The sequence below is a fragment of the Homo sapiens genome, chromosome 2 (genome assembly GCF_000001405.40).
Source record: "Homo sapiens chromosome 2, GRCh38.p14 Primary Assembly".
Lineage (NCBI taxonomy): Eukaryota > Metazoa > Chordata > Mammalia > Primates > Hominidae > Homo > Homo sapiens.
In genome coordinates, this window is record NC_000002.12 from 205,870,405 (window position 1) to 205,888,776 (window position 18,372).

The window sequence follows — 18,372 nt, forward strand, 5'->3', positions numbered from 1 at the left end:
GTGTTGATAAAGACACCTATGTTGGATGAAGTGAGTGGTGTTCTACCCTCTCTCATTTCTCAGCTAAACATAACTCTTCCACTGACTTTGGCCCAGCCTATCACATGTACCTGGCCTGGATCCAGACAGTTAGAATTATGAGAATCAGCTCAGAGATGTCCAACCAAGAGATCAAAATTTCCTGATGAATCTCAAAATATGACTTGATATAGCTCTAATTTCCTTTGAGTCCTGTTCTTTAAAGTTGTCACCCCATTGAGGGCAAAAATGGTATCCTGTTCATCACATTTCTTGTAACATCTAGAGTCATACCTGGCACTTAGCAAGTGATCATTAACATTTGCTGAATTAATTTACCAGGATTGCAAATGAGGAGAAGCATTCTAGTGATGGGCTTGGATTCTCATGACCAACGATGGTACTCCCGAAAGCCTATCTACCCATCAAAGACGGTCAACCATAAAACCTACTCAACGTTCAACAACAGACAAGTCTTAAACACCTTCTATGTGTCTAATCCCAGGCATTTGACCATTTGCTCAGGACCTGAGATACAGAATACATAAGACAAAGTCCCACCCTTCAAAGAACTCAGTTTAGTAGAACTGAGAGACACACAATTAATTCTAATTTTAGTAGCCACTTACTTCAATAGACATGCAGGTAAGGAGCCACATAAGAACTCTTCATTTAATACAGTTTAAGGATCTCTGGATTGGACATTTTGGTGGACACTGAATTGCACCATGCAGATTCCCCTTTAATCAAAGACTTGCTGGCCCAGTTGCTAGGAATGCTGTGGGCAGGCAGCCTCCAAACCTGTCCTTCAGAGAGCCTTCATCCAGTTACTGGACAGTGTAGGAGTATACAGACCCAGCCATCTCGTCCCCATTCAGATAACTCTGAAGTCATTTTAGCTCCCAGAATTGACCTGACTTGAGCCGAGGCTGTCCTTGGGCCTGCAGCAGCAGCTCAATTTCTCCCTCTGTGCCCTTCTGCTTCCTTCCTTTTCCTTTCTGGGGACCATCATTAATAAACCTCCTACATGCTAAACTCCACGCTCAACTCCCTCTGGAGTCAGCTTCCCAAGGAGCCCAACCTGCAGCAATCAGTACCACCAATGTAAGAGAAAACTTGAGAAGAGATAGAATTTGGGACTGTATCACTTCCCATCTGGCTGGCAATGAGACTCCAGCACTCACTTGTGGACAGTGGAACACTGAGCCCCTGGCACAATTCAGTGGTCCGATCTAGTTGTAAAATCAGGTGCTGGCGGATTATTGGGATATACACCAGCAGAGGGGGATGCATTTGCTATTGCAATGTATCAGATATCTGACACAAGATGGCCATGTCTTCATACTCCTACATTGTCCAGGAACTGTATGAAGACTCTCTGAAGAACTGGCTTTGGAGGCTGCCTGTCAACAGCATTCCTAGCAGCTAGCGCAGGCAGCAAGTCTTTCACTGAAGGGGAATCTGTGGTACAACCCAATGTCTACTACAATATCGAATCCAGAGATCCTTAAACTGTTTTAAATTAAAAGCTATTGTCTGTCTTCTTACCTGCACATCTATTAAAGTAAGTGGCTTCTAAAATTATAATTGATTGTGTGTGTCTGTTTCCTACTAAACTGTGAATTATTTGAGGAGAGTGGTTTTGTTGTATGTATTCTGTATCCCAGGTCCTGAGTAAATGGCCTGGGTAATATGACAGTAATAGTAATTATGGACAATGATGGCTATTATTAAGCTTTGCTGATACAGTGGTCCCCTCTTATCCTTGGAGGATACATTCCAAGACCCCCAGTGGATGCCTAAAAGTGTGAATAGTACCAAACCCTATCGATATCGTGTTTTGTTGATCTGATAACTGAGATGGCTACTAACTGACTAACACGTGGGTAGCATCTACACCATAGATCTGATGGACAAAGGGATGACTGATGTCCCAGGTAGGATGGAGCTGGACAGCATGAGATATCATCATGCTACCCAGATTGGCATGCAATTTAAATTGTATGCATTGTTTATTTACGTAATTTTCCAGTTAATATTTTTGGACCATGGTTGGCCACAGGTAACTGAAATCAGGGAAAGCTAAACTTGGATAAAGGGGGAACCACTGCAGTCTGGAAAAGAGGAAAGAAAAAGCTGAGAGGATTCATCCCAACCTTCTCAGTAGGACAGAAAGAGGTTCTTGTCTGCTGCAGTGGGAGGGCACAGAAAACTGAAGACCAGCCACAGGACGCAATTGTCAGAATAGCTGAGTCCAAAGTTTAAACTCCTAACCTAGGAAGATCTGCTGTGCCAGGGTCAGGGCTGTGGTTAGGATAAATTGGGACTCTGACTCAAGCAATTTGAATAGCTGGGTTAATCCCCTATCTCCCAAATTTTCCAAGCCTGTAATAGTGGCCCACCTTCCCTATTAAAAAGCAACACTCCACCACTGGATGGGGATTATGAGCCTTCCCCCTATAAGGCCCCAAGTGTCTTACACAAGACATCTGCCCTCACCTCCCTTCTTAGCCACTAATCCTCTAGCTAGAGTTAGTTAAATTACAACATAACCCAGCCCAGGACATACTGTGACTGATAATGGAAAAAAAGGAATTATACCCTTGAGAAGCTCCAAGACCTAGCCAGCATGTACCAGCAGGACTGGGAGGGTACACATGGAATTGTATTTTGATGGTGCTTAATCAGGAGGTTGAAATATAAGCCTGGGTAAATAAGTGTTTGTACATTTGAGAGCCTCTCCCAGAATGAAAGATCGAATACTCTGGCAGGAATGATAGAAGATAGAAGAACCACACTTAGATGGCTCCTAGAACAAAAAAGGCAATGCTCACATGAAATGAGGTGGAAATGCCGGATTTGCCATGGCTGATGGTGGAAGAAAGGATTAAAAGTCTCAGGAAAAGTGGAGAGGCTGGAGCGGATATACCAAGAAAGGCCAGGAAAATCATGAAAGTTGATTATGTTCCAAAAGACGACCCGAAAGAATCTGCTGGTGAGAAGGGCCTCAGTGTCATTAAAAAATTCAGTGGTGGCTCTCCTCTCTCGGCAAACAGTAGGAAACGCCACTACAAAACTATACTCTCTAATATTGATGGAATGAAAGGACTCCTAAACAGAAGCAAATTGACAATTCAGAACCATTAGGAGCCAAGTGGATTCAATTACCGTGAGTGGCAAGACTGGAGCAGGGAGGCTGGAGGTGGTTGGCCTGCAAAGAGATTATGCAGCTAGTTTCTAGAACATGAATACCTATGGGCAAAATAGGCAGACAACAAGGGTACTACTACTCAGTTGATACCAACTAAAGAAATCACAGATGGATAATCAGATGACTAAGGACAGTTATTTTAATATCATCATCCCTAGTCCATTTTTATGCGCCAACAGCCCGTTTTCTGAAGGAATGATCAGGTACCCACGAGAAAGGACTCCATAAGACCACAGCAGGCACACACACTTTTGATTCCCCCAGTTCTTCCACAAAAGGATCTTTGACTATTTACTCAGACGACTGAATTGGGGAAAGGAAGATAACCCAAACATTTTGAGAAATGTTGGACACAAGATCCAAATTGACACTAATATCCAGAGACCTTCTGGAGTAGGATCCTGGGGGAGCTAGATGATAAACGGAACCATGGCCAAGGTTTAAGAGATACTGGGTCTGTGTCCGGAATTTATTCCTTCTGGTGGGTTCTTGGTCTCGCTGACTTCAAGAATGAAGCTGCAGACCTCGCGGTATTACAGCTCTCAGACGTGGTGCATCCGGAGTTGTTTGTTCCTCACGGTGCGTTCATGGTCTATGGCTCTGACTTAAAGGATGAAGCTGCAGACCTCACGGTCAGTGTTACAGCTCTTAAAGGTGGTGCATCCGGAGTTGTTTGTTCCTCCCGGTGGGTTCGTGGTCTCGCTGACTTGAAGAATGACGCGGCAGACCCTCGCGGTAAGTGTTACAGCTCTTAAAAGTGGTGCAAAGCCAAAGAGTGACCAGCAGTAAGATTTATCAGGAAGACCGAAAGAACTAAGCTTCCACTGGTTTCAATGGTACCCGACCTGGCTGCCGCTGCTGGTAGGGGCGGCCAGCTTTTATTCCCTTATTTGGCCCCGCCCATGTCCTGCTGATTGGTCCATTTTACAGAGTGCTGATTGGTCCATTTTACAGAATGCTGATTGGTCCATTTTTACAGAAGGCTGATTGGTGCATTTATAATCCTCTAGCTAGACAGAAGAGTTCTCCAAGTCCCCACCCGACCCAGAAGCCCAGCTGGCTTCACCTCTCAGGTCTGCTGAGGCTACAGCCCATCTGGTGGTTATTTCCTCAGCTCCTGAATGTGTAATCAGAACTGATATGCTTGGTGGTTAGCACGCACATTGCATCTTTGGTCTGCAGGGTAAACGTCATCCCTGGGGAGAAACTTCTACCTGCTACCTCCTAGACAAGAAAATAAAAAAATCATGCCCAAGGAGTGTGACAAAAAATAGGCCCTCTCTCAAGGATCTAAAGCTGCACTGCCCAATGTAGCCCTAACCACATGGGGCTATTGAGGATTTGAAACGTTGTTAGTGCACTTGAGGGACAAATTTTTTATTTTATTTTTTTTTTGAGACAGAGTCTCACTTGATACCCAGGTTGGAGTCCAGTGATGTAGTCTCCACTCACTGCAACCTCCGCTTCCCGGGTTCAAGTGACTCTCCTGCCTCAGCCTCCCGAGTAGCTGGGACTACAGGTGCCCGCCACCACACCTGGCTAATTTTTGTATTTTTAGTAAAGACAAGGTTTCACCATGTTGGCCAGACTAGTCTCAAACTCCTGACCTCAAGCAATCCTCCCGCCTTGGCCTCCCAAAGTGCTGGGATTACAAGTGTGAGCCACTGCACCTGGCCTTCTTTTATTTTAATTAGTAAAATGTTAAAACTTGTGTGTGTGGCCGGCACGGTGGCTCACGCCTGTAATCCCAGCACTTTGGGAGGCTGAGGCGGGTGGATCACCTGAGGTCGAGTTCGAGACCAACCTGACCAACATAGAGAAACCCCGTCTCTACTAAAAATACAAAATTAGCCAGGCGTGGTGGCACATGCCTGTAATCCCAGCTACTCGGGAGGCTGAGGCAGGAGAATTGCTTGAACCCAGGAGGTGGAGGTTGCAGTGAGCCAAGATCCCACCATTGCACTCCAGCCTGGGCAATAAGAGCGAAATTCTGTCTCAAAAAAAAAAAAAACTTGTGTGTGTGATTCAGATATTGGAAAACTTTTAAGTATTTTTGGAACAAGTTGAGTATGTGAATCTACTTTTTCAATTGTAAATTTCATGAAAACTAAATATAAGTCAGTGTTTCTGCTAAAACTTTATATGGCTTATAATATACTAGAAGTATTAATACTTATTACCCCCCAAAAAACTATAAAATATCTCATTAATATTTTATGTTTATTACATATTAGATTTATTTTCATAGATTGAGTTAAAATATATTACTAAAGTTAATTTTACTGCACCTTTTTACCTTTTTAATATGGCTATTAAACATTTTTAAATTACATATATGGTTTGTGTTATACATACAATGAAAAGCATTGTTCTAAAGGATGCAGAGTTTGTGGTTCCAATCATGTCTCCATTTAATTCACCATCCTGGCCCCTGCAAAAAGCAGACAGATACTACACCATAACTGTGTTCCACCACAAACTCAACAGGTAGAGGCTCAAGTTGCAGCCACCATGTGCTTTCCCTCCTGGAACAGATTAACAGTGTCTTAGGTCCATGTTGTGTAGCCCTTGACTTGACAAATGTGTTGTTCCCCATCCTTATTAGAAAAGAGCATCAGGGACAATTATCATTCACATGGAATAGGCAATAGTACACATTTACAATTCTGCCACAATGGACTCTGACCTGGGTTCAAACTCCAATTCCTCCCCACTGTGCCTTTGGGAAGTAACCTCCCCAAATCTTACATTGCTCCATATGTAAAATTAGATTATGTCCACATCACAGGGTTGCTATGAAGACCAACATGAGCTAAGATGAGCTAACTCTACATCATAAAGTAAGCAATCCATAAATATAGGTCTCTCTTCCCCTCAGTGGCCAGAGAGATCTTGGATGCTAAGGCATGTAAAACACCTATTTAAGCTAGGATAAATAGAATAGTACTTCTATTTTGTTATGATACATATTGGTAAGTGCAAGGAGGGCTGGAACTTAGCCTATCTGCAGGAATATATTCTGTAATCTCAGTTGCATAATAGAATTACTTTACAAAGTTTTTTAAACAGCCCAGGTACAGTGGCTCATGTATGTAATCTCAGCACTTTGGGAGGCCAAGGTGGGAGGATCATTTGAGGTCAGGAGTTCAAGACTAGCCTGGCCAACATGGTGAAACCCCTATCTCTACTAGGTGGGTGTGGTGGTATGCACCTGTAATCCTAGGTACTTGGGAGGCTGCGACAGGAGAATCACTTGAACCCAGGAGGCAGAGGTTGCAGTGAGCCGAGATCGTGCCACTGCACTCCAGCCTGTGTGACAGAGCAAGACTTTGTCGCAAAAAGAAAAAAAAAAAAGAAAGTTTCCTAAAGAAATGGATGATCAGGCCCCAACCCCAGAGATTCTGACTTAATTTCAATTTTAAAATTTATGCTCAATTCAGTTATTGGAAAACATTATTATTAGTAGTAGTAGTAGTAGTAGTATTTTGTAGAGACAGAATCTCACTATGTTTCCCAGGCCGGTCTTAAAATCCTGGGCTCAAGTGATCCTCTCAACTACAGCCTCCCAAAGTGCTGGGATAACAGGGCATGCACCACCTCTCCTGGCTGGAAAACTTTTAAATACATTCAGAACAACTGGTCTCAGGTAACACCCAGGTATTTTTCAAGAGTTGCCCCAGCTGATTCTAACATGCAGCCAGGGTTGAGAGCCGCCTTTCCTACCTGGTCATTTTGTCATAAGTCTTGAATAAGTGATCTCTCTTCCTGTCTGCCTCTCTAAATTAAAACTGAATGCCCATCAGTCACAGATAAAGATTAATTAGATAATTGCATCAAGCATGTTCTTTGAGATCCTTAATAGCAGAAGGGAAGTTCCAGATATCATTAGGGCCACTGTCATTATTATCACTTCCAGTTTCAAGTAGGAATTAGAAGTCGGAGACAGATCCCTTCTCCCCCATGCTCAGCCTTCCCCAGTCCTGGATGTATTATTCTGAGTGTGTTGTGAGGGCTGGGGCCCATCAGAAGGTTCTGAAGCATATTAATGTGGAGGCCAGCCCAGCACAGGTGTGAGCTGGAGTCTGATGCTGTTTGCTATTAAATACAGCAACCCTGGCGTCAGCATATTTGCAACACATTTCAAGATTGGGTCAGGAGGCCAGGAGCTGATGATGGATTTTTTATTTATTTATATATTTATTTTGCTTTACTGGCAAACTTGAGATTTGTAGGGTTCTCAAGCAGCTGCCGTCAAACCATCAGGTTACAGAGAATAGGCACCAATGGAGAGGGAAGAAAATAGATTCTGGTTGCGACATTCTGTCTGGTCAGCTCATCACCCTTCCCCCCAACTTTCCTACCCCATGGTAAAGCAAGGCAGCAAGGGCTGATGGCTGAGGCACAGGCAATTGTCATTGGCCTGACTGGGACATTGGCAAGAGACACTTCTGCAGTGGAGCAGCAAATCAACTTTCCATTTTGTGTTATATGTTCAGCCGAATTTTCACAGCTGCTTGGCACCCAGAATGGGTGTGGTCAATTACTACCAGGGCCTGTACTGACAATGTGTATTCTACCTTTCATTGCCAAGGCCTCCTCACTATGCTGATATAGAGGGTCAAGAAGGGCTTAAGGGGCTGGGCGTGGTGGTTCAAGCCTGTAATCCTAGCATTTTGGGAGGCCAAGGCAGAATGATGATTGAGACCAGGAATTCAAGACTAGTCTGGGTGACATAGTGAGACCCATCTCTACCAAAAAAATCAAAAAATTAGTTGGGCATGGTGGCACGCCTATGGCCCCAGCTACTTGGGAGGCTGAGGCAGGAGGCTCACTTGAGCCCAGGAAGTCGAGGCTTCAATGAGCTGTGGTCACACCACTGTACTCCAGCCTGGGCAACAGAGTGAGACACTGTCTCAAAAAAAAAAAAAAAAAGGGAGGGGGTGTCTCAAGGTCTTCAAGGGGAGGGGCCAACCTCACACTAAACCTCACACTATTAGTTTATGGTTAACATGTATCACACACATACACACACTCACTTTGGGGAAATGTTTAAGTCATGCTATTTCTAATCTCTATCTTTTTCCTGAAAACAGAAAGAAAAAGCCACCAATTCTCAGTAGAATCAGAAAATTTGGGCAGTGGAAGGACCCAAGAGGTGAACTGGTGCAAGCTCCCATTCAATGCCATTCACATCACCCTCCCTGAGGGAGGCATCTTCCTGTCTTGCTTGATGGTCTCCTATGATGGAAAACTCCCTTGTGGCCAGGAACCCACTGGAATATCCAAGGCCCTTGTGGGGGTCAATGGGAGTGGGCCACGGGGTGCCCAGATGAAACACTGTTTCTGAGTATATCTGTGGATGTTTCCAGATGAGGTTAGCATCTGAATCAGCGGACTCTGTTAAAATAGATTGCCCTTTCCAACGTGAATTGGCCTCGTCTAGTCCCTTGAAGGTCTGAATAGAATAAAAGGCTGAGGAAGGAGGAATTTACTCTGTTTTTTCCTGCCTCTTCTTGAGCTGAGACAGCTCCTCTCACCTTCTCCTGCCCTCAGAACGGGATTTACACCATCGGTTCCCCTGGCTGTCAGGCCTTCAGACTCCGACCGCATCACACCGCTGGCTTTCCCGGGTCCCCAGCTTACAGATGGCAGAAGTCCTCCATAATCACAAGAGCTAATTCCTCACCATAAACCTCCTTTTATAAATTACGTGTATAGAAATCAATATCTATAACCAATAAGATCTATTGCTGTGTTGCTCTGAAAATCCCTGACTCAGATAGCCCTGTCCCCAACCTACCTCAAATAAATGTCTTTACTGTGGTTTCAGAATACAGTACCAAAAACTGTTCAAGTGCTTCCGAGAGAGCAGAGCGATCCGTGCAGCTGCCTGGCTCCACACACCAAAAACGCCCAGTGGCAAATACAGTCAGTCATCGCAGCCACGGAGCCATCGGACACCTGGAGCCGCTCAGCACGCACGCTTTTCAGCTGCCTGGAAAATCCCCCTGGAGAGCAGTGCAGACGGGGCTTTGTTTTCCTCTTTCACTTGCCATTTCTCTTTTTCTCTTTTCCTTTGAACATTTTCAAATCCTTTTTTCTTTTCCCACCCATCTGGCAGCCACCGCCGGTCCAAAAGCTTTGAAAGCTCTGTGGCTTCTCAACCCACCTTGCATCCTGCAACCATTTCTGCTCTAAGCCCCGAGATGATGCCTCTTGCTCTCTGCTGGAAGGGCACGTATTGTGTGTGGTGTAATGTAAGGAGAGAAAGGTTTGGAATGACTGAGGATTGGACTGAAAATATAAGCCTTCCACTTATAGCTGAGTGTCCTTGGGAAAATTAATAAGCCTCTCTGACTCTCTATTTTCTCCCCTGTAAAATGAGTTTGATACCTATCTTCGAAAAGTTAAGAAGGCCGGGAAAGGTGGCTCACTCCTATGATCCCAGCACTTTGGGAGGCTGAGGTGGGAGGATCCCTTGAGCTCAGGAGTGTGAGAACAACCTGGGAAACATAGTCAGAACTTGCCTCTACAAAAAAATTTTAAAAATTAGCAGGGCATGGTGACACCTGACTGTAGTCCCAGCAACTCAGGAGGCTGAGGCGGGGAGATCGCCTGAGCCTGGGAGGCCGAGGCTGCAGTGAGCTGTGATCTTGCCACTGCACTCCAGCCTGGGCAATAGAGCAAGACCCTGTCTCAAAACAAACCAAAAAAATCTGCCCCTTCCTTGCCTGGATTTCTTTACTCCAGAGGTGGCTAAATCACTCTGTCCTGGACAATGAGATGTAAGGATTTCTGAGTGGATTTCTAGAACTCATAGATACTGTTTTTTTCCTGATAAATGGGAGTGGACTCAGCTGACACATGTGATTGGTTCTTCATGTTTTCTTCTTTCTTCTGCTTCCTTCTTGAAATGCAAATGAGACACCCAGGGTGATGCAGTCACCTGGTAGCTCTCCGCTGGGTGCTGGGGACATAGGGGTAACAGGGGGCTTCCTAGTGTCACTACGCTTGTAGTCCAGTGCAGGAAACAAATGTGCAAATGCAAAATCACAGTCCAACACCCTGAGTCCTATGATAGGGAGAGGGAGGGATATAAAATATGGAATGAGCCTCAACCATGAAAATAACACACCCCAAATTATATGAAAACCCCCAAAGTATAAAATCAATGACTACAGCAGGAACACTCCTCTATCTTATCTAAATCTGGGGATGGGGCCAGGAGTTCAAGACTAGCCTGGCAACATGGCAACACCCTGTCTCCACAAAACACACACACACACACACACACACACACACACACACACACACACACACACAAATAAATCAGGGTGTGGTGGTGTGCCTGGGAAGGAGGGTCACTGAAGCTGGGAAGATCAAGGCAGCAGTGAGCTGAGATCATGCCACTACTCACTCCAGCCTGGGTGACAGAATGAGACTTTATCTAGGAAAGAAAGGGAAGAAAGGGAAGGAAAGAAAGGGAAGAAAGGGAAGGAAGAGAAGGAAGGGAGGGAGGGAGGGAAGGAAGGGAGGGAGGGAGGGAGGGAGGAAAGGGAGGGAGGGAGGGAGGGAAGGGAGGGAGAGAGGGAAGGAATGGAGGGAGGGAAGGAATGGAGGGAGGGAGGGAATGGAGGGAGGGAGAGAGGGAGGGAAGGGAGGGAGGGAGGGAGGGAGGGAGGGAGGAAAGGGAGGGAAGGAATGGAGGGAGGGAAGGAATGGAGGGAGGGAAGGAATGGAGGGAGGGAGGGAATGGAGGGAGGGAAGGGAGGGAAGGGAGGGAGAGAGGGAGGGAAGGGAGGGAAGGGAGGGAGAGAGGGAAGGAATGGAGGGAGGGAAGGAATGGAGGGAGGGAGGGAGGGAAGGAATGGAGGGAGGGAAGGAAGTTTGGTTAAGAATAAAACTTCCAAAGAGATTGGTTGAAGATTGAAACAAATTTTTTAAAACTTTGAGTCAAGACTTTGGTATCAGACAAGTGTGGGTTCAACTCTCAGCTTTGTGTTTTACTCCATCTTTAACTGAGGGCAATTTATATAAAGATCCCTATGAGAAATAATTGAGGCAATATATGCAAAGTGCTTGGCACAAAGTACATGTTTAATGAACCTTAGTAATGAGGATGGTGTCCCCCAGGGGTTAAAGGTGGTAGAGATTACTTACGAAACAGAAGCAATGTTGTAATCCAGAATTCAAAATTGAACCCATAACATACTATTTTTTACCTAACTGCCCACTGACCAACATTGATAAACATCTAATACCTAGTATTGGTGAGAATATGGGGAAAAAAGGCCCTTTCATGCAATGATAATAGGAGTACAAACTGATACAAACTTTCTGAAGCCAATTACAGCAACTCACATCAATAGTCTTAAAAGTGTACATACCCCTTGACCCAGAAATTTTACTTCCAAGAGTTTATCTAAGGAAAGAATCATGGATGTGTGCCAAGACAGATACCCAAATACATTCATTACAGCATTGTGAATGATTAGCAAAAGTTGAGGGGGGTGAGGGAGGAAGACCCAAATACCCAACAAAGAGAACTAAAGAAATGATGATAGAATACTCAGAAGCCAGGGCTGGCACAGTGGCTCACACATGTAATCCCAGCACTTTGGGAGGCTGAGGTGGGCAGATCACTTGAGGTCAGGAGTTCGAGACCAGCCAAGCCAACGTGGCAAAATCCTGTCTCCACGAAAAATACAAAAATTAGCCGCGTGTGGTGGCACTCGCCTGTAATCCCAGCTACTTGGGAGGCTGACGCAGGAGAATCGCTTGAACCCAGGAGGAAGAGGTTGCAGTGAGCCGAGATCCCACCACTGCACTCCAGCCTCAGCGACAGAGCAAGACTCTGTCTCAAAAAAAAAAAAAAAAAAAAAAAAAAAGAAGTACTCGGAAGCCACTGACAATGACATTGTAAGGAGTGAAGGACTCAAGAAAATTTTTACAACGTATTTTAAAATTTAAGACGCTGGTTTCAGAACACAGGGAAATTTCTAACATTCAATAAGAAAAATGCCATAGAGACACTAAAATATTATAAGCAGCCATCCCAAGCAGTGGGAATAACGAAGAGAAGAAGAAGTCCTCCCTCAGCACCTATGACCAACCCGATTCCTGAGGGTCGGCCCAGCCCAGGCACCACACAGGATGGAGATCACACCCCCTGCTTGCTTCTCTGCTCCATGGTTTCTAGGTTGTTCATGGAGTAAGGTCTTCTCCTTGTGAAGATCAATTTCAGGGAATATTTATGCGACTACTCCTGAAAATGCCTATAAAAACAGATTTTTTTTTTTCCAAATGTGATTTGTTCTTTGACAAGTACAGCAAAGCAAGAAAACACTATTTTTGGAAACAAATGGAATATATCCAAAAAAACTGTGGAATGTAGTGGTAGAAACAAATACATTTCTATATTTGTGCATCCACTTCTCTCTTCCCACCTAGCGTTTGCCAGTAAGGGAATAATCTTTGTAACCTCCAAAAATGTCACAGGAGGGGCATAAGTGACTTGTTTCAAGGGGCAGGCTTGAGTGCCATGAAAGTGGGATTCGGCTCCAAGCCCTGAGGCCGGCACGATCTTCAAAGTTCTACAGAGAAGAGACCGGAGGCCTTTTTGTTATGTTAATAGCCTTTAGCTTAATGCTTTTTGCTGTACTCTTTGTTTTGGAGAAATAAATTAAAGGTGTTAAGCTGAGAAGGGTTATAATTGATTTCCTCTTTGTGCTTTTCTATATTTTCCAATTTTTCTAAAACAGATATGAATTACCACTGTGACTAGGTTACTATTTTTTTAAGAGAAGGGTGAGGTGACCGCCACAGCTATCTCATGGCATCATTTCAAGTGCCCTGCAAAGATCTCCCTTGACCCCCGAGGTGGCCTGAAATACTTTTCACTGAATATAGGGACCTTCATTTCAATGAGATAAAGTTTAAAATTCAAAATTCTGGACCAGAGATGGGAAAGGACATATCTCTATTTGCACACTGTGGTAAAAATGACTAATAATACTTTGCTGGGCTGTACCTTGGGAATGGGCTCTTTATTTAGGGGTTCATAGCTTCAGCCTCCTAACTCCTTTTTTTTTTTTTTACCCCCCCACCCCCCGAGACAGAGTCTGGCTCTGCCATCCAGGCTAGACTGCATTGGCACAATCACAGCTCACTGCAGCCTCAACCTCCCGGGCTCAAGCAATCCTACCACTTCAGCCTCCTAAGTAGCTGGGACTACAGGTGTGCGCCACCATGCCCAGCTAATTTTTGTATTTTTTGTAGAGATGAGGTTTTGCCATGTTGCCCAGGCTAGTCTTGAACTCCTGGGCTCAAGCAATTCACTCGCCTCAGCCTCCCAAAGTGCTAGGATTACAGCACAAGCCACCATGCCTGGCCCCTAACCCTAACACAACTCTGTAGGTCAGGGGTCCCCAAGCCCCAGGCCATGGACCAGTACATGGACCACTACTGGTCCATGGCCTGTTAGGAACCAGGCTGCACAGCAGGAGGTAAGCAGCAGGTGAATGAGCAAAGCTTCATCTGTTTTTACAGCTGCTCCCCGTGGCTCCCATTACTGCCTCAGCTCCGCCTCCTGTGAGATCAGCGGCAGCATTAGATTCTCATAGGAGCATGAACCCTATTGGGAACTGTGTACCCAAGGAATCTAGGTTGCATGTTCCTTATGAGAATCTAATGCTTAGTGATCTGTCACTGTCTCCCATCACCCCCAGATGGGATTGTCTAGTTGCAGGAAAACTCAGGGCTCCCACTGATTCTACATTATGGTGAGTTATATAATTATTTCATTATATATTACAATGTAATAATAATAGAAATAAAGTGCAAAATAAATGTAATGGGCTTGAATAGTCCCGTAACCATCCCCACACCCTGGTGGGCCCATGGAAAACTGTCTTCTGCAAAACCAGTCCCTGGTGCCAAAAAGGTTGAGGACCACTGCTCTAGATCATGTGGGTTGATTTTGCTCTTCCTTATCACTAAAGAAAAATGAGTACCCAGCCATTGGTCATGTGTGGGCGAGAATGGTGCCTTACAATTAAACCAAAGAGCGCTGTGCATGGCGCTGCTCTCCCTTAGCTCCAGTAGAGGCGTGGGGTCAGCTTGCTCAGCTCCCTGAGTCTGGGTTCCCCCTGTCCCTTGGTCTCAGAAAGGTACTGAAGCCCCGCATTCAGCTGGATGAGGAACCTCTTGGACCTTACTGTTCCGCAGAAGTGACCCTAAAGCCGGACTCACTGCCCAGGTCCACTTGAATGGTCTCATGGGTTGCTACTGAAATGGCCCAAGGTTTGAAGCCACTAAGAGCGGGCATCAAATCCTAGCTACCCTCCTCATCTGGGTCACCTTGGCCTCGCTCTTCACACTCTCTGACCTCAGCTCCCTCACTGGTAGTGGAGGACATGGGTCAATACACTGTCACTATTATTGAAAGCTCAATACATTGTGACTATTATTCATGAATTCTTTAGCTGCCTTATTTCCACTTCCGGATGCAGACTTGTTTACAGCCCTGAATATAAAGGAATCAAAGACCAAGAACCTGATGACAATTAGGTTATATTTGTTACAGTTCTGATCATTTTTCTCTTCGGGTCCACTGATCCACAAAAAATACGTATATAAATAACAGGCAACCAGGTGCCTTATGCAAGGGGGAAAAAATCTTAAATAATCTTGTTTTTGTGGGTTTCTATTTTCCAGAAAAAAATTAATAAATACAAAAGGATTAATTTTTCTGCTTTAACATTTTTTAAGTGCACCAAAAACTTTGTTAAATACACAAGTAAATATATGTCACTTTAAAAAAAATTATAGCCAGTGCAGGATAAGAGAGGGAAAATCCATTGGAAAAGAGGGCGCCGCGGGACAACCCTAGGATAGGAGATGGAGCCATGGATGGGCCCAGAGCTGACTGTGGCATCCGAAAGATACGCAAGGAAAAGCAGTGAGGGGGCTGTAAGGAAGAGGTGGTGAGGGAGTCCCTGAGGGAAAGGAGAGGCTCTGCAAGGAAGGAGAATGACGGGGAAGGCAAACGTCTCCTCCTCCCTCCCACACCCTCTGCCGGTTTTCCCGCTCTGCCTCCTGGCGCCCTTTTCCGCCCAGAAAGCAGGAGCCCGCCTAGTCCTTCATGGCGGGAGAACAGCGCCCTCGTGTGGACTGCCGGGTTCTTGGTGCTAGAGGCAGTTTGGGTCCGTTGCCTTTTCACTACTCCGGACACACATTGTTTTTCAGCAAATGAGAAAGCCGCATAAGCAGCATCCCAGGCAGTTTCTTTGCAGAAAACTTGGTAAGGATCAAACAGAAATAAGCCAAGTGCAGCGATTTCCCTCACCCACATCATTCACCTCCGGCAAGTATCTGACTCTATTTCTCTTTCCAATGCCCAACTTCGGGGGTGCTCATCCCAACAGGCAGTAGCTCCTGTAGTAGCCCAACCGTGCATCCCTGAGAGGCGTAAGGGCAGGGAGCTGGCAGAGCCATGGGGACATACGTGGGGACAGTCTGGAAGGCGACGTGATTGGCCTAGGATGCGAAGGGTCCATACTGACGTAGAGAGGGGCTGGGCAACCTCTGGATGCACCAGAAAATGCTGTGCTCTCCCAGGGCAGTGGGGGATTCACACATAGGATTCCTCCATGGCTCTGGTGTTGCTGGAAATACTTCTAGAAACGCCCATTCAGGAAATGGAGGGGTGCACAAAGATTTCTTTACAAAGGTGTCGTTTGCAGCTTTATTTGTAAATCTGCCATTTTGGAAGCGGCCTAACAGCAAATAGGAGGGGCCTGATCAGATACACAGCGCTGCTCCCATCAGTGGAATGCCGTGGAGACATTAAGAATGATGTGGCAGGCTAGGTACCATGGAGAAATCCCATCTCTACAAATAATACATATATATATATATATATATATATATATATATATATATATATATATATATATAAAATGTATATATATAGCCGGGTGTGGTGGCGCACACCTGTAGTCCCAGCGACTTGGAAGGCTGAGGTGGGAGGATCGCTCGAGCCCAGGAGGTAGGGGCTGCTGTGAGCCGAGATTACGCCACAGCTCTCCAGCCTGGGGACAGAGTGAGACCCTGTCTCAAAAAAAAAAAAAAAAAAAAAAACCCACAAGATACCGCATCCAGCCATTCACTTCCAACCTGTGCACTGCTCTGCGGTCATATGCTTTCCTTCTATTAAAAATAATAATACTAATACATTTAAAAAATAATGCAACAGTCTATTTAATGGCAAATGGGCACATATGCTCAATGTCATGTTAAATGTTAAAAATACAAATCTGAACATGGCATTATGGTGTAGATTTGTCTTTCTTAACCCCACTTTTAGTTTGTTCTATCATTTTTTATGTGCCTTTGTAATCCATGCTGAATCCTTTAGAATAAAATGGAGATTTAATAAATAAGGAAAATTATATGTACACTAGATCCACCTTCCAAAATGTATTTATGCACTTAGAGAGGAGGACAGAGAGAGAGAGGCACAAGATAAGTGAAAAGTACAATCCTGAAACATTGTGACAATCCTTACCTCTAGCTAAGGATGGTTGGTCATTTTTATTTACATATTTTATATTTGTTTTCATTTTCTACACTGAATAGGGTTTACTTCTTAAATCAGAAGAACAGTCCATTTTTTTCAAGAAGCAGAATTGTGGCCTAGCCCACCTGCCTGCCATTCCTACCCATGTCTTAGGCAGGTGAGCCAGGCAGACTCTCTCGAAGCGAATCAGAAACATCTTGGGAGGTTCAGCTGAAGGAACAAAGGACTCCTCGCATCCAGGATCTTCCAATGCCAGCATTTGAGCGATGCCCTAAAGAACCAGCCTTGTCCCACACAGGAGGTACCATGTGAAGCTGTTATTGATTGTTTACAGGTTAGTATAAAAGGATTTATCGGTGTCATGTAATAGTTTTGAATAGGGCTTGGAGTCCGGGCTCAGAACTTAAATTCTCACTCTGTTGTTCACTAATGTTTGATTTGGAGTGATGACTTATTCTCCTCATCTGAAAAGTGGAGATGTAATCCTTATACCTCTCAAGATTGCTGAGAAATTAAATGTGGTAGTCAGGCTGCACCATATGAAGTTGGTGGTTTTGTGGGTGTGAAGTGGGTGATCCCCGGCCATTTCTGGTTCAATCCGTGTACATTGGGAGCTCAGCACGGTGCTGGCAGGTGGTCAGCGCTTGCTCAGCCTCCGCACGGTTCCACCCCCATTCCACAGATCAGGCTGTACAGGGCCGAACGTGGGAAAAACAGGGCTGCAGGAAGGCATGCAGGGCCTGGGAGGGAGTTGTGGGGAGGAAGGAGGGAAGAAGCCTCAGAACGCCAGAGGCTCTCAAAATGCAGCGTGGCCAAAGCTGATGCAGCGTCAGCCTCCCTCTTGCCATTTTAAAGATACTCCACCCCCAAACAAACACACACACCCCTCACCCTTCTGACCTCATTAAATTTACTTCTACATGGCATAACTTTCTTCCCCAGTCTGAGCCCTCTGGGATCCACCTTGTGACCTCAGAGGGCTAACGTCACAATGGGGACCCTGAACCCTCACTCCAGCTTCTCCCCTGGGCACAGGTTTGCTGGCAGGTGCCAAGGTGGTAGGATATGCTTCCTCCCAACCTGGGGAAGGTGCAGAGGCTGTGACTGAAGCAGCCTGGCATGGTGCTCCCCTTGGTCCTAATTAACTCAGTTATCATAAGTTCCATTGCATCCAGGACTGAGATACCCAAGTCCAAGGAATGGGGAACCATTAGAGACACACTGGCGGCGGGGGTGCAGGAAAAGAGAAAGCCACCACTAGTCAACCTGGTGGGACTTCCAAGGAAGGTAATTCAAGGTTAGGCATTTTCTTGGGATATCAGAGTCTGAATCAACTTTCATCTGAAATGAAAGGTCCTGCCCTGCCCCAGCCAGAGCTGCCAGTGCCTCCGCCCCTTTAATAGGGACTTGGTGCTTTCTCAGTGCCACCCATGAAACTCAAAACTGAGTGGGGGCATTCCACTGATGGTTTGGGGGTTCAGTGAGAAGGGAGACGGGGTGTGGGAGAAATGGTGGTTTCAAAGACTCTTCCATCCTTGGGTTAGCTACTCTAAGAATAACATGT

At 45.4% G+C, this 18,372-nt stretch overlaps 2 annotated features.

The window, feature by feature from the left end:
• Positions 16,990–17,490: an enhancer, noted in NCBI's record as "H3K4me1 hESC enhancer chr2:206752118-206752618 (GRCh37/hg19 assembly coordinates)". NCBI's record gives its function as "activates a minimal SCP1, AML or CMV promoter by ChIP-STARR-seq in primed H9 embryonic stem cells {active_cell/tissue: H9 hESC(primed)}" and the evidence as "EXISTENCE:reporter gene assay evidence [ECO:0000049][PMID:30033119]".
• Positions 17,491–17,991: an enhancer, noted in NCBI's record as "H3K4me1 hESC enhancer chr2:206752619-206753119 (GRCh37/hg19 assembly coordinates)". NCBI's record gives its function as "activates a minimal SCP1, AML or CMV promoter by ChIP-STARR-seq in primed H9 embryonic stem cells {active_cell/tissue: H9 hESC(primed)}" and the evidence as "EXISTENCE:reporter gene assay evidence [ECO:0000049][PMID:30033119]".